We start from the raw sequence: 16128 nt of genomic DNA, 5'->3' as shown, positions 1-16128 counted from the left end.
TTCCAATGGCTTTGTCATTACTTAGGATAAATTCCAAAATCTTTAACATAATGTATGTTATTATATTTGGTCTAGCTGTTATCTAACTCTCCACCTCAACTCCTACATCTAACCACAGTTATTCCTTTCTCTGACATGTTAAACTCATTCCAATCTCTGAGATTTTTATACATGTTCCTATCTGGAACATACTTCTACCTGGAACATCTGGTTTTCAGCTCAAATGACACCCTTCTTCTATGACTACCCTATCTGTCTTCTAGACCAGTCATTCTCTATTTACTAGTGTTGCTTTTTACAGTATATTTTATTGTCTAATTAAAATGTTATTTATCTATGTGTTCACTTACTAAAAAGTGTTTGTCTCCCTGCCAAGACTATAAACTCAATGTGGTGTCTTTTTGCGTCTTGTTAGCAGAAAAAACAGAGCCTGTACATACTTGCTGAGTGAATAAATGAGGATTTGTGCCCCAGAAAAACCTCTACCAACCCCCTCCTCCCCAGTGTACAATTCCATTTGAATCTGCAAGACCAATCAGTAGTAATTTTTAAAGTTTCTGCATGTAATAGGTATCCCAATGCTTCCAGTCTGTAGGAGTGAAAGGACACCTAAAATGTTTTGCAACTCTATATTCCAAACTTATTTTGCATGTCTATATTCAAAGTTAGCAAGACTTCTCATCAGGAAAGAGCTTTCTGAGTTTAATTTGATGCACAGCATAGTTCTTTTGTTTTTCTTAGCCAGGGGAATACAATCAGTAATCACTGCTTTTTAAATTTTTCTGTCTGGTTTAGTCCCAAAGCATTTTATTTGGCAGAAATTCCTTCTCAATCTTGGTAGGCAGTCAATTCTTACTGTTTATTTAAGATGTTAATTCAAACATTTTCTAACTTATTTGGAAGTTATAATAATATTATTTATAGTATTATATTGACCTGTAAGAAACTTGGAACTTTCCAAAAGAGCTCTCAAGAAATGGAAGCTATTTTGAGATGCAGTTATTTTCCACCATTTGAAGGCACCCAGGTATATGGTATAGTCATATATGAATAGCTTGACTAAAAGATGTTTGAAGTGCTTTTCAATCTCTGAGATGTTACAATTCCTTATACATATAAGACAGGTCCCAGTTAATAATGTAATCTCCAAGAGGTGGTCAATTAAAAGTGTTCTTCATGTTACAAAACTGACATATTCATGAAACAATTCTTACTAAATAAATTTCAACACATCTAATTTTCTTTCTACTTTTACTATAAATTTTAGAATAAACTATTTTGGAAAATAATTTGTCTTATGCTAATTAAGTGAAATATTGTGAAATAATACTAAAGTGAAGGTTACTCCAGGAAGTAATATTTGGCTAGTGTATAAGTACAATCAATATGTCCAATTTAAGACTTATTTCATTATAAAATTGATTGAAAATATTTCAATGTAAAGTATATTTATTTTATAGTTCAAAAACACTTATAAAAATATATTAAAAGTTAGAAAAACTCACCTTGAAATATTCTGATTTTTATATTCTTTTATTAATTTTAAGTAACTTACCCTGGCGCATAGTTGCATATGAAAATTGCTGCATGTATAATATGTCCAATTTTTGAACATGGAGTAACAGCACAACCAACTTTGTAAGAGTGGTCCCAAACAAGCTAAAATAAAATTTTCAAGAAAGACACAAAATTTAATTTTAAACATTGACTTTCATATTATAAACAATAATATATTCCATTCACATAGAACTTTTCACCAAGCAATTCAAGAAATATAAACTATTTTCATTTAGAGACATGTAGAGAGTTACCAAGGAGTTCGGGCAGCATTTTCAACACTATATTTAGATAAATACTTCAATAGGTTCTACCAATAACATATTCTTTTTTTTTTAATTTTATTTTATTATTATTATACTTTAAGTTTTAGGGTACATGTGCACAATGTGCAGGTTTGTTACATATGTATACATGTGCCATGTTGGTGTGCTGCACCCATTAACTCATCATTTAGCATTAGGTATATCTCCTAATGCTATCCCTCCCCCTTCCCCCCACCCCACAACAGGCCCCGGAGTGTGATGTTCCCCTTCCTGTGTCCATGTGTTCTTATTGTTCAATTCCCACCTATGAGTGAGAACATGCGGTGTTTGGTTTTTTGTCCTTGCGATAGTTTGCTGAGAATCATGGTTTCCAGTTTCATCCATGTCCCTACAAAGGACATGAACTCATCATTTTTTATGGCTGCATAGTATTCCATGGTGTATATGTGCCACATTTTCTTAATCCAGTCTATCGTTGTTGGACATTTGGGTTGGTTCCAAGTCTTTGCTATTGTGAATAGTGCCACAATAAACATACGTGTGCATGTGTCTTTATAGCTGCATGATTTATAATCCTTTGGGTATATACCCAGTAATGGGATGGCTGGGTCAAATGGTATTTCTAGTTCTAGATCCCTGAGGAATCGCCACACTGACTTCCACAAGGGTTGAACTAGTTTACAGTCCCACCAACAGTGTAAAAGTGTTCCTATTTCTCCACATCCTCTCCAGCACCTGTTGTTTCCTGACTTTTTAATGATCGCCATTCTAACTGGTGTGAGATGGTATCTCATTGTGGTTTTGATTTGCATTTCTCTGACGGCCAGTGATGATGAGCATTTTTTCATGTGTTTTTTGGCTGCATAAATGTCTTCTTTTGAGAAGTGTCTGTTCATATCCTTTGCCCACTTTTGGATGGGGTTGTTTGTTTTTTTCTTGTAAATTTGTTTGAGTTCATTGTAGATTCTGGATATTAGCCCTTTGTCAGATGTGTAGGTTGTGAAAATTTTCCCCCATTTTGTAGGTTGCCTGTTCACTCTGATGGTAGTTTCTTTTGCTGTGCAGAAGCTTTTTAGTTTAATTAGATCCCATTTGTCAATTTTAGCTTGTAAGAACTGTTTGAGAACACGGTTGATCCAGAATAATGCTTCAGAGCCAAAGGACGTCATGCCTGATGAATCAATTTTCAACCTCTGGTTGAATTGGAAAGTTCTAGGTTATTGGAAGAGAGGAAGATGAGAAAGAGGAGAAAAAGTTTTTAAAAGATGGAAGTTGTGGAAAAAAGGGAGAAAAAGAGAGACAATCCAATTATAGAAAAGTAAAAATGATACAAGAGTAGAGAAGTATTGAATGCTATTGGCATTTCTCCTTCTCTTTGTTAAGAAAATTCTATTGTAGGATAAAACAAAATCTGGCCTTTTCATTAAAAAATGAAATAAAAGAGCTGGTTCCTACAAAAGAGAAACAGATCTTGAATTGGAGTGAAAAAGATGGGAATAATCAAAGGCATTCCAGAAATTATCTGTAAAACTTTAATATTTCTAATACTTCCAAGTGAACCAAAAAGTACTGTTTTGTTTTGTTAACCTCTGTGCAAGAAAGAGGAACCATTCTTGTTTCATTCTTTTATCTCAAGCCTTAGTGGTTTTAAAAGTGTGATTCTTAAAGAAATAAAGAGACACATTAAAAAGGTGATACATTAAAAGAATAAAGAATAGAGTATCTGCAAGAGTTAAAGTGAAGTTAAGCATGTCAAATGCAGGAAACGAAAAGGTCTAGGAGACTAGAATTAAGGAGTAAAAACACAGAGTACTATGTTAGGGAGTAGATTTGGTTAGTTTATTGAGTATTAAAGTCATATTAAAGAGGCTAGGTTTGATAGGAGCAAGTCAATGGAGAATCACTGTAACTTTCTAGAAGAAAGAAATGATCAGAAAAAAAAAACTGATGAAAAAATTTTTGAAGTATGATTGGATGAAAGAGAAAGACATGAGTTCAACATGAACAAATTCCAAAGTATTAAGTTCTACATAAAACGTGACATCAGGGTCTATTGATTGAATAACTTTTAAGTAAATGTGGGAGTTCATGCAATAATTTCTTGATTCCTGAAACAAATATTTATTGCAGACCTAAATAACGTCGTGTTGTTATGTTGAGAATATATGGATGAAAAGGTAAGGTCCCTGCCCTCAGTGTAGTATCAGACATATAAATAAATTATTGTTAAACAATGTGATGTATAAAATAACAAAGGTTATGTACTTGAAATGAAAAGTGCTTCAATATTCCTGGAGTATAAAGTGTGAGGGTGGATTATTGAACCAGAGGCAGGGAAATAATACTATTAATTTGCATTTCAAATGTTTTAAACAATCAGCTATACAGTAGTATGTGTACTGATATGTCCAAAAGCATATTCTACATATGTTTATAGTCAATCATTTATAAAGTATTTTTATTTACTGGTTTCTTTCCTCCTTTTCCAGTGTACATTATTTTTAGGAAAGTGCCTTTCATCTTTGAACATGGAGATTAGGTTTACTATATTTAAAATAATGTTTTAATTGTATGGTTCATATAAAAGATGGGATGGTAGACATTTTGAAGACTAGGAAGATTGATTAAAATTGTGATCTTATTAAATGTGATAATTTTATTATTTGAGTTTATGTACAAATTTGAAACATAATAAAACCAGGCATAAATCAATTAAGAAGTGTTTGAATTAATAACAAAATAAAAATTACATACCTGAATATAATTAGAACAGTCTCCAGAGCAACTGCCATTTTCAAAATTGTACATTTTCTTCTCTGCATGCCAACTTCTGATAGCAATACTTGCAGTAAATTCATTTTCAGGGCCGACCCACATATTTTCACCAATACCATAAAATTTAGGATGGACCATTTGTACATCTTGTAAATAAATATTATGCGTAAACAAACATTTTTTTCCCCATGCTCTAGCAGTCCGTGATAAAGCTACATCCCAAGTCTGAAAAATATTCAAAAAGCAAAGAGAACAAAATAAGTTTTTTTTTGTAGTCTAAAATATTTTTTCTTGAGTTATCATTAGATTTAAAGGAAACAATTCTAACTTTGTACTTGTGCATCTTGGTTGAGAAATTTCTGCTGGGAAAAACTTCCATGGGATAATAAAAAATGAAATGACCATTTCCTGAGACAAAGGACTATGTATATATTTGTAATTAAAATATTAGAATGCTAGATGATGGAAATGATAATACTCTTACATGTAGTCTGTTCAGAAGTATGTAATACACTTACCTATAGTCTGCTCAGAGTATATATTTTTAAACTCATGCCTTTTTGTACACAGAAATACAACAATCTAAAATATTAAGAGGTATTTATTAAGTAATGATTATATGCAAAATATCATATTGTCAAGAATAAAATGCTAAGTCAGCATAAATTTTGTCCTCACATTGCTTTATTAGAATTATGTATATTTTTATATATCTGATTAGATATACATCTTATATATATTGGATTAGATATAAATCTTATATATATTGGATTAGATAAACATCATATATATCGGATTAGATATACATCTTATATATATATCGGATTAGATATACATCTTATATATATCAGATTAGATATACATCTTATATATATCAGATTAGATATACATCTTATATATATCGGATTAGATATACATCTTATATATATCGGATTAGATATACATCTTATATATATATCGGATTAGATATATACCTTATATATATATCAGATTACATATATATTATATATATAAGATCCTATATATATATATAAGATTAGAGAATAAGAGAAGACAGAGAATATATATATGTGTGTGTGTATATATATATATACACACACACCCAAAAAAAATCTTTTAACACATGGTAGTAGTTGGTGAGTGTTAACAAATAAGGCACATATAAAGTTTGTTGCAGAAATATGAGAAAATAGCATAAGATGCTGTTCCCTGGCTAGCTATCTGGAAATAACCAGAAATGTGTGCTTTTATCATCATTTAGAGACTCATTAAATTAACTGTTAGTGAAGGACAAGAACAAAAACCACACACTAGAAAAATCAACAAAATAGTGGTGAAACCAAAAATACTAAATACATATGTTACAGTGTATCAGAAAGTAAACATCTGAAAATCAATACTCATACTTCCTTAGAGCAGGAGTGTCCAACATTTTGGCTTCCCTGGTCCACATTGGAAGAAGAATTGTCTTAGGCCACACATAAAATACACTAACACTAAGAATAGCTGATGACCTAGTAAAAAAAAAATCGCAGAAGAATTCATAACCTTTTAAGAAAGTTTACAAATGTGTGTTGGGCTGCATTCAAAGTTGTCCTGGGCCTCATGCAGCCTGAAGGCCACAGATTGAACAAGCTTGCCTTAGAGTTTTCTTAGTGAATCCCATAGATTACACATATATACAACATAGAAAATAAACATATCAGACCTTTAGAATATCTCCCTACTACTTCCCTTCCCCTAAGGTAACCACTATTAAAAAAATTGCCTGTTTATACATCTCTCTATCTCTGTATCTACAAACATATACACACATTTAACTATAAGTTTGGCTGTTTTAAATGGGTATTTTGTGATTTTTTTCCCTTGCACTATTGTGATCATATCATATATAATATTATTGGCCTTTAACTTTCAGTTTGCATGTAGAGAAAGAGTTCCATATTAACATAACTAGATTTGCTTAATTTTTACATGGTCTGCATAGTATTCCGCAGCACGGATACCTATAATAAATGTAACCATTTCACCATTAATAGACCTTTAGATTGTTTCCTATTTGCAAACAATGTCCCATGGACTACACTTCAACCTGATTTATTATGCATATACTTCACATACCTCATTCTTACTACATAGCAGTCACTATTTTAAGTGTATTTTATGTATTATCTCACTGAATGTTCCAATAACCCTAGGAGGTATGCATTATTATTATTATTATTTCTGTTTTCCCAGAGGAAGTAACTAAAACACAAAGAGGTTAAGTAGTTTAAATGTATTAAATGTCTCATAGACAGTAAAATTGTGGAGCCTGGATTTAAACCCATGAAATCTAATTCCCAACTCTAAGTTTATAAGCATTTTACTTCTCATGACTATGTGCAAATAAATTGTAAGAGCTCCAAATTCTTTTATTCAACTATGAATAAAAATCATAATTGAAAAGAGAGGTTAAAGTTTCAAGAAGCAGTTAATGAGATATTTAATGAAATATGTCAAGACAAGGTTGATAAATGTGCTTTGAGAAGGCAAAAAATTTTTGTTAGCCATTACTCTTTGTTTAGCTAGAAAAGCTGAATCCATACTCTAATTTGTACTCTCTTATAGGTAACAGGAAGATTTTAAGATTTTATTTCAATATATTTCCCTGGAATATGTCTAGGTATGGGCCTTTTCTCATTAATTGGGCTTAGCATTTGGTGGACTCCATTAAAAAATAATTTTAAAAGGAAGGTATAATCATAAACTCTCATACATGTGTCAATGATTTTAAGTGATTAATTAATGAGGGAACTACTAAGATATTATAGCTTGTTCAAGAAAAATCCAAAGAATTCTCAAGGTTACATGCTGTCAAGAAGTGCTGAAATCCATTCACAAATAAATGCAAAAACTAGGTCTTATCCACAGGGAAATAGTCAATTACATTTCATCAGACACAATGAATTTGCATTTCTATGAGCAAAATTAGTTACATTACAATTACTTTTCTACAATTTAAAAATTGTAAATTGCCTAGCTCAAAGACAATTATAGAAAAGATAATTTCTATGTGTAAGATAAACAGTGCACAAAATATTGTATTTCACAATTTTCCCTGACATTTATCTTAATCTAAAAACTTATGTCTCTCCTCAGCTCTAGAAAATTTGCTTCTGTTATTTCTTAATTTTCTCCCCTTTATTTTGTTTTATAGTTCCACACCACTTGTAAGATTTAGGAACTTTGCATTTTATTCTCTCTGTCTTTTAATTTTCCCTTTGTGCTTTTACACATTCATTTATTTATTCATCCATTCAATACATGGGAATATCTCAATGAATAAGCTGAAGGATATAAAGTTGCAGATGAAAAATTTCATTATTGAAGAAAAAAATATTCATGACACTTGTTAACACAGTAATGAAGGCTTTAGAAGACTTGCAACAGGGGAGACATTTGAGGCTCAACTCCAAACACAGCAAGGATAAGTGGGGATTTATAGCCATGGAGTAGGATGAGGGGGTCAATGAATAAAAAATTATTATGAGGAGACATCAAGTTTGAGGGGGTTCTTGCTACATTGATCTAACAGGATTCTTGCTGAAGACAGGCCAGTGTAGTCAGGTCAGGCCAGGTAGAGCTCAAGGGGAGGGGATGAAGATTTTGATCAGATGATATTCAGAGTAATCAGATATTGAGTGTGGGAGACTCTCCTTAAACTGGGCTAGGTGGGACTTTTGTGAAAACTGGGTGATGCAGGCCATAGGACAGGGCCTAAATCCCAGGCCTAGCCAGAGAGGGCTCAGGAAAGTCTGACTAAAGTTTGGTTAAGTAGAGAGAGAGTCTTTGTCAGGCCCCTCTCGTATTTGCATCTCTCTCTCTCTTTCTCTCTCTCTCTCTTTTTTTTTTTTTTTTTGAGATAGGGACTTGCTCTGTTGCCCAGGCTAGAATGCAGTAGTGTGATTGTGGCTCAATGTAGCCTCAAACTCCCGGGCTCAACTGATCCTCCTTTGTTAGCCTCCCTAGTAGCTGGGATTACAGGTGTGCACCACCGCACCCAGCTAATTCTTTTATTTTTTGGTAGAGACAGGGTGTCACCATATTGCCAAAGCTGGTCACAAACTCCTGGGCTCAAGTGATCCTCCCACCTCAGCCTCCCAAAGTGTTGGGATTACAGGTATGAGCCACCATGCCCAACACCTCTCTTCTTATTTGACAATGCATTTCATGCAATTTAACCTATTAAATAAGTCTAATTAGTTTTAACTTTTTTAAAAAAACAAAGTAAAGGAAAAAATTCTTTGAGATAGTCTATGGTTCTGGGAAATTTCAAGTTCAGTTCAAAATTAAGGTTTCATTTAGAATTTGATCTTGGAAAAGCAATGTCATAAAAAATTTCGAAAGTTTTGAACAGTTGACTAAATAAGATCTTAGACAGCTATGAAACAATACTTAAGCAATCTATTTAACCAATATGACAAAAGATTTCAAAAGTAACTATGGGGGTAACATAATTTTTTTTTAAAAAAAGACCTTAGCTCTTTTAAAAGTGAGAATACTTGGTTTTCTTAAATAATCAGGAAAATAATAAAGTTGATATAAAGCACAGGAAATTATTTTAAGATACACAATCTTTTTATTCTAAGTCGATTACTTTAAAAGCAAAAAAAAAAAAAACTTTTGACAATTTCTTATTAAGAGCAGACCAGTAACCTAAGTAAATGTTGTCATTTTTACAGAGAAAAAATCAAATTCTAGTTTTGCATCAGTGTACTTTTAATTTTAAATGTCATTTAAGGTTTTCTAAAAAACCATTATAAATAAAACCATTTGGTCTTAGCCAGCTTTGACCATGCAACATAAATTTTTCTTTTCACAAGACTTTTCAAACTTTCTATATCCATATTTCTATATTTGTTGAAGGCCGAAAGAGTGAGGGACATGATCAACTCATATAACCACTAGAGGCTATATGAGTAAACTGCAAACTGTTCTCATGAAAGTGGGTTGCTGGCAAACTGGCAAACTGACAAACTGCGTCTGCTGCCCAGAAAGAATGCTGAGGGCAGTCATGACCCAGGCATAAGTGTTTTTTGTGATTAGGTACATCTGAAGCCTATTAGTAATAATTTGAACCTGTGATCAATTACTCAGCTGACCAATTGTTACCTCTTCCTCCCTGCTCATTCTACCCAATAAATACAAAGGGCTGTGGAAGCTCAGGGTGGCTGCCCTTGCTCACTAGAGGCAGGGAGCCCTCTTCTTCTTCCCCATGTTACCCTTCCTTCAAAACAGTTTCTTTTAAGTTTTCACTTCTGCGTTTGTCCTCTGTTCAGTCTTGTAATGACGGTCTCAAGCAGTAACAGTAGTAACTGTTGTAGTGATGGTCTCAAGCAGTAATCGTGGCAGTCTGCCACATATATTGTCCTAAATTTTCTTCTTTCTCATCTTGACCAGTCATTTTATTTTAAGACAAAATTACTTTCTCCTTCTCTTGACAAAAACATATCCTACATTCCTTGTAAACTTTTCATACAAAGTGTTTGTATACATTAGTGCCGTTGATTTCACAGAGAAAAACTAGGAAGTAAATTACTGTGAATTATTTGTCACATACCAGCATTCTATAGTAGACTAGCAAATTTTATGAATATACCATCTCACTAGCTTTTATAGGTATTTTCTGCTTCATAGTATTAAAAACTAAAAGTGTGTAAACTTAAACTTATGTTTAAAAATGTATGTTTTAGCAGTTTATCTTACTTAGAAATTATCAATGAATATCTATTAATTTAATCTAACATAACTTTAAGACTATAAGTTACTAAAAAGATTTTGGAAATTATTTTTAGTAAGACATAACACTAAACAAAGCTACCTAGCATCTCAAGTTATTTCCTTGTTAACTATTCTTATGGCACATGCATGTTAGGTAAATATAAAAGAATAACAACAGCAAAAAAACTAAAAAGGGTTAAATACACATTTGTTGTTTTATTGTTTCACTTGATACATATAAAGTAATAGATATCAAGAAATTCATTTTTACTACATCTTTATTTGTACATGTGTTCTTAGGCTGAATTTATAATTTTTATAATCTTAAATATCTAGTAGCTATCACAAGTTTATTTGACTTAGTAAACCCAAGTAGAATAAAAATATATGCTTGTATGATAATTAATTCTGATAATTCAGAAGACACAGCTGTGTTTTATTAAACCAACATTACTAAACCAGTCTTATTTGGCAAAGATTCACCCAAGTCAAGTGAATCTGAAAAGAATGTGGATTAGTTTGTATTTTTCTGAGAGTTTGAGGAATGTTTAATTTATATAAGACTTGTTGAGCTCTAAGGCAATTTTAGTAGACCTCCTTTAAGAGATTTTATAAATTAAATTTGTAATACGATCTCAAGGTAAGAAAATATCACATATACATAACACACATATGTATACACACACAGAGAGAGACATATATAGAGATCTTATAGTCCATTCTAAAATTTTAGCCACAAGTCAAGTGAAACACAATAATAGAAAACTCACTGATTTATATAAAATACTTGGAATTATGTTTTTAACAGAAGTAACAAGTTAAGGTGATCTACTCAATATGAGGGCTAATGCTTTTTACCATTATTTATGGAAAAGCCTTTAAGGCTTTCTTTGTCTTGATATGTAATCTCACAGACACTGTGAACTACTTTTTAGGTGAAAGACTGTGGGAAAATCAAATAGTTGTTTAGATATTTCCAAAGCCTATCTGGGTAGATCAAATATCTAGTCTCTTTCCAATTTGTTATTTTTCCTTTTTAGTCTCAGGTAGTTGCTTCTGAGGGTTCCTGAGTTTCTTGAAAGCCTCTAATGGGGGCAGGGGATCTAAAGTTCTAGTAACTGTAGAGGCTGGTGTGAACAGAAGGATGAAGGAGGTAGGGGGTTGAAGGTGGACATATCAAGGGAACTGAAGGGAAGATCAAAGGTGGTATAAGGAGGAAGGAGGAGCAAAGATGATGGGAAGGGAGGGGTCTTAGAGGAGCCAGTGTGCAGAGATTTGAAGTTTCCCAAAGAGGCCACTGATGTTCCAAATTATCCTTAGTTAAATTCACACCAACAAAAAAGGAAGCCGACATAGTTAGTGGAGTATAGAGTTACCAGGGGCTCAAAAACGGGACGGGGGTTAGTAAACTGAAAAGCTCCCAGGAGAGAAGCAGAATCAAATGGAGACCACAAGGAGACCTTATAAGAAGCCAAGACAAATGTCCAGCCTAGGACTCAGGAAGTGAATCTCCCCACAAAACAAAGAGCCAGGAAGAAAGACTTTCAGTCCAGGATTGATAAGTGAATCCCCATTTGAAAGAAAGAACAGGAAATAAATTTCAAGCCTAGAAGGGACCTTTCAGACAAAGAAATCTAAAACTGTAATCCAGCTTCAGAGAGTTTACAGAAGCTTAAAAATCAAAAAATCTATCCTCACCATCCTTCAACAGACTGTCATCTGGAGCACTGGCTCAGGAGTCAGACTCACCAATGGATCCCCAATCAATCATTCAGGAGTGAAGACAAAGTCTTCAAAGGGGTGCACTTGGAGTCCTGGGTGAGAGGTTTGGAAATCCAATGATGAATCTGCTACCATCGGAGTCACAGCAGTACCATAACTGTTAAAGGAAAAATTGTTCATGACACTTGTTAACAAAGTGGAGGACTTTATTTAGGGCTATTGTGGTAGGTGGCAAGACTATCATGTTAGAGGAGAGAGAATGGGCTCAATTCCAAATACAGCAAGGATAAGTGGGGATTTATACCCATGGAACAGAGTGAGGAAGTCAGTGCATGGAGAATTACTAAAAGGAGACATCAAGGGTAGGGGGATTCTTGCTAAACTGACTACAAAGATTCTTGCTGAAGGCAGGCCAGAGTGATTAGACATCAAGGGCAACAGATGCTGTCTAAACTGGGCTAGGTGTGATTTGCAATAACACTGGGCAATGTAGGCTTTAGGACAGGGCCCAAGGTCAAGGTCTATTCAAGAAGGCTCAGAGTCTTCGTCAAAATATACATAACACTGATTTTGGAAACTGAACAAATTTAAGTAATGAGTTGTACACAATGTGACTGAGGAAGAGTAAAGGAAAACATTATTAAGAGACTAGAGAATATTATTATTCTATTTACTGTCCAATGTATATTGATAAATAAAACAGGCCTACATTTTTTTCCCTTTTTCTCCTTGTTATGTTTATCACATTTGGAGATTTGTTATTCTAGATTTCTAAAATGAATTGAATCTTCCATTTTTTAAACACACAGAAACACTTTAATATCATTGGAAATTATCTGTTCTTTGAAGATTATTCAGAATTATCTTTATTGTTACCTAAGATGGAGGCCTATTTAAAGAACAGATCTTCAACATCTTGCTGCTGTCTTCTAAAGCATTGCTGTTACGGTTTTCTCTTTCTGTATTTACTTTGCAACTTACATTTTGCTAGAAAAACACTTGATTTCATCTAGATACCTAATATTATTAACATGGTTGGACATAATAAATATTGTCTTACACTTCTTGCAATCTCATCTCCATCTGTGGTTATAAATCTTTTTCTCACTTCTAAAATAATTTGTTTTCTCTTTTTATTCCCTGAGGCTTATCACGAATGTGTCTATTTTTTTTCCAGTTCTTGCAAATAAGAATGCTGTTTTATTAGAAAAAATTATTTTTCATTAATTTTACTTATACAGCTATTCTCTCATTCTTTGTTTCTTTTCTTTGAATTTTTTAGTTCATTTATTGTCAGTCAGTTTCTGTAAAATGACATTTACAGCTAATTGCCTTTTCCTTTATTTATGTCATGTGTTTTGATATTGTGCCCATATTTTGGGGAAATTTTGTTTTTTGTTCTTGATCTGAAGATAATTTGAAGAATGTTGCTTAATTCCTTAGTTAAGATTCTATCAACCAACATTTTTTGTTCTTTCTAGTTTTATTACATTCTAGTCAGAAATTTAGCGTGTAAAATTTCTACTTAAGTTTTTCTTTATGAGCATAAAACAGATGTTTTTCATGGATATTAGAATCCCTTATTGACAGGATTATTTGTTCGTTGCTATATATAATTTACTTGTCAAATCTATTTTATAAGACTTTAAAAGAAGTATAGAAAACATCCCACAATTATCTTGTTTTAAAAAATATTTCTTCGTATTTTTAGGAAATTTCACTTGATATATTTTCTATTTTGGCCAGTGCGAAGGCCTTTATTTTATCTTCATGGATTATACCTTTTTTTTTCCAATACATAGTATTTCTTTTTATCTTTAGTCTTCATTTCTATATTATTTTATAATATTGTTTCTCTTTTTTAACTTGGAAGTTTCATAAATATTTTTATTCATATTTTTATTTTCAATCATTTCAGGTATATATTTTTGCAAATTATTGATAAAGAAATTAAATTCACTCATATTTATGATAACATATTTAGTTTATTTTAAAATATTATTTTATGTTTACAGTTTTTTAAAAGTCATTTCCTATTTTTCCCTCCTTATATTACAGGCTTGATGAAGTTTCTTTGTATTGCTCACTTCTCTTTTGTAAATCTGGAAGTTCAAGTAACTTTTCCCATCTGCTAGCCACCAACATCAAATCATTATGATAATCTTTATGATTATCTTAACTATCTTTAACTTCAATTACCATGTTTAAAATTACATATGATTAAATAACAAAAATACACACACATATATATATATAAAATTATGCTCACTTCCATTTTGATGTTTTGTTTGCCCATTTCATGCCATCGTACACAAAGATCAGACTTCAGGAATGCTAGCCCTAATACACTAAATACTGTATTTTACTGAGGATATTGTTTTAAATTGTTGCCGTTACATTTTTTTGCTGTATATATTTTTTGTTTCATGAATGCTTTATCACTTATAATCTCCAGTGAAATTATCAACACGCATTAAAGAATATTTTGTTTTAAAAATAATTTTTTTGAACAGATATCTAATACTTTATAAAAACAAAATCACATAAAATCATTGAGAAGTCATGTTGTCTTGCTCTCCACCATCCTATTTCCCCAGGACTTCTATAAGTAACTAATTAATTCCGTGGATCTGTCCACTATTTTCTATTCAAATATACATTATTTTAAATTTTCGTATACAAAACGTATCATAATGTACCTTGCTTTTCCAAGATCCATGAGATATTGTGTTGTTAGTATAAAGAACGTTCAGGCCGGGCACGGTGGCTCACGCCTGTAATCCCAGCACTTTGGGAGGCCAAGGCGGGAGGATCACGAGGTCAGGAGATTGAGACCATCCTATAACGTGGTGAAAACCTATATCTACTAAAAAAAATACAAAAAAAAATTAGCCGGGCGTGGTGGCAGGTGCCTGTAGTCCCAGCTACTCGGGAGGCTGAGGCAGGAGAATGGCATGAACCCAGGAGGCAGAGGTTGCAGTGAGCCGAGATGGCGCCACTGCACTCCGGTCTGGGCAACAGAGCGAGACTCTGTCTCAAAAAATAAAAATAAAAAAATAAAAAACGTTCTCATTCTTTTTTTTCCCCACAGGTGTATGGTATTCTTTTATGTGGGTGAACCACACTTACTTTAGTTAACCCTCAGTGCTGGAGATTAGAGTATCTTTCCAATAATTTGTTAATATTAAATGATGGTACAGTGAATAACCGTTTAGGGATACCATTTCCTTCTTGTATAGTATGTCCTTAGGATAGATACCAGAAATGGGACCAGAGAGCCAAAGAGTAAATACATCTGTAATGTAGTAGGTATTGCCAGATTCTTCTCTACAAGGACTATATCATTTTGCTTTCACACCAGTAGTACATGGAGTAGGCATGGTCTTTGACTTTGACACAAAATCCAGAAGCAATTTTAAAAAACTGATTAGTCAGCTACACAAAAATGTTAAAAAGTCTGAATAGCAAAAAATACATATGTAGATTTAAAAAACTGACAAACTGGGAACATAATTACAACTCATACCAAAGACGAAGGGCTCATTTCCCAAATAAATAATGGGAGAAAAAAAGGCAAAAAAACTAATAGAAAAATAATCATTAAAGGATACTAACAGATCCTTATTCACATGAAAGGATACACAGCTTTGCTTATAATAAGAGAAATAAAAATCACAGATCATATTTTACCTATCAGGCTAGTAAAACTCCAAAGTTCAACAATAGTTTTGTTGTCTTGTCTGTGGGGAATTGTTGACTAGTTGGAATTTATATTGATGTATGGATGAAGCAATATTACCTTTTTCAAATGACTACCCAGATTGATCAACACCAATTTATTAAAAAGTCTATCTATAGCTCACAGATTTGAGATGCTACTTTTATCATATGCTAAACACTCATATATTTGGGTTATTTCTGAACTCTATATCTTTCAATGGTATATCTTTTAACATACTAATACTGTATTATTTTACTTAGTGAGGCTTTATTATATGCTATAAAATCTAATATGTTCAATAACCCTCATTTTTCAAAATATCCT

The 16128-nt window shown here is 32.6% G+C and overlaps 1 protein-coding gene across 9 annotated transcripts in view; it reads right to left on the bottom strand.

Annotated features, from left to right (window-relative positions):
- Window positions 1-16128, bottom strand: part of GLIPR1L2 (GLIPR1 like 2) — a 41600-nt gene that overhangs the window by 17432 nt on the left and 8040 nt on the right. For 3 of the 9 annotated variants that reach the window (NM_001270396.2, XM_011537949.2, NM_152436.3), the window contains exons 2-3: window positions 4578-4823; window positions 1556-1659 (exon numbers count right to left, since the gene is read on the bottom strand). In NM_001270396.2, coding sequence (NP_001257325.1) covers window positions 1556-1659; window positions 4578-4823 — 350 coding nt within the window. Of the gene's footprint in view, window positions 1-1555; window positions 1660-2067; window positions 3036-4577; window positions 4824-12059; window positions 12241-14782; window positions 14950-16128 lie in introns of those variants that run through there. The other 6 variants (XM_024448850.2, XM_047428342.1, XM_047428341.1 and 3 more) reach the window with 6 other exon arrangements.

The sequence above is a fragment of the Homo sapiens genome, chromosome 12 (assembly GCF_000001405.40).
Source record: "Homo sapiens chromosome 12, GRCh38.p14 Primary Assembly".
NCBI classification, from domain to species: Eukaryota; Metazoa; Chordata; class Mammalia; order Primates; family Hominidae; genus Homo; species Homo sapiens.
The sequence above is the reverse complement of the archived record's forward strand: the minus strand, read 5'-3'. Positions and strand labels throughout refer to the sequence as shown.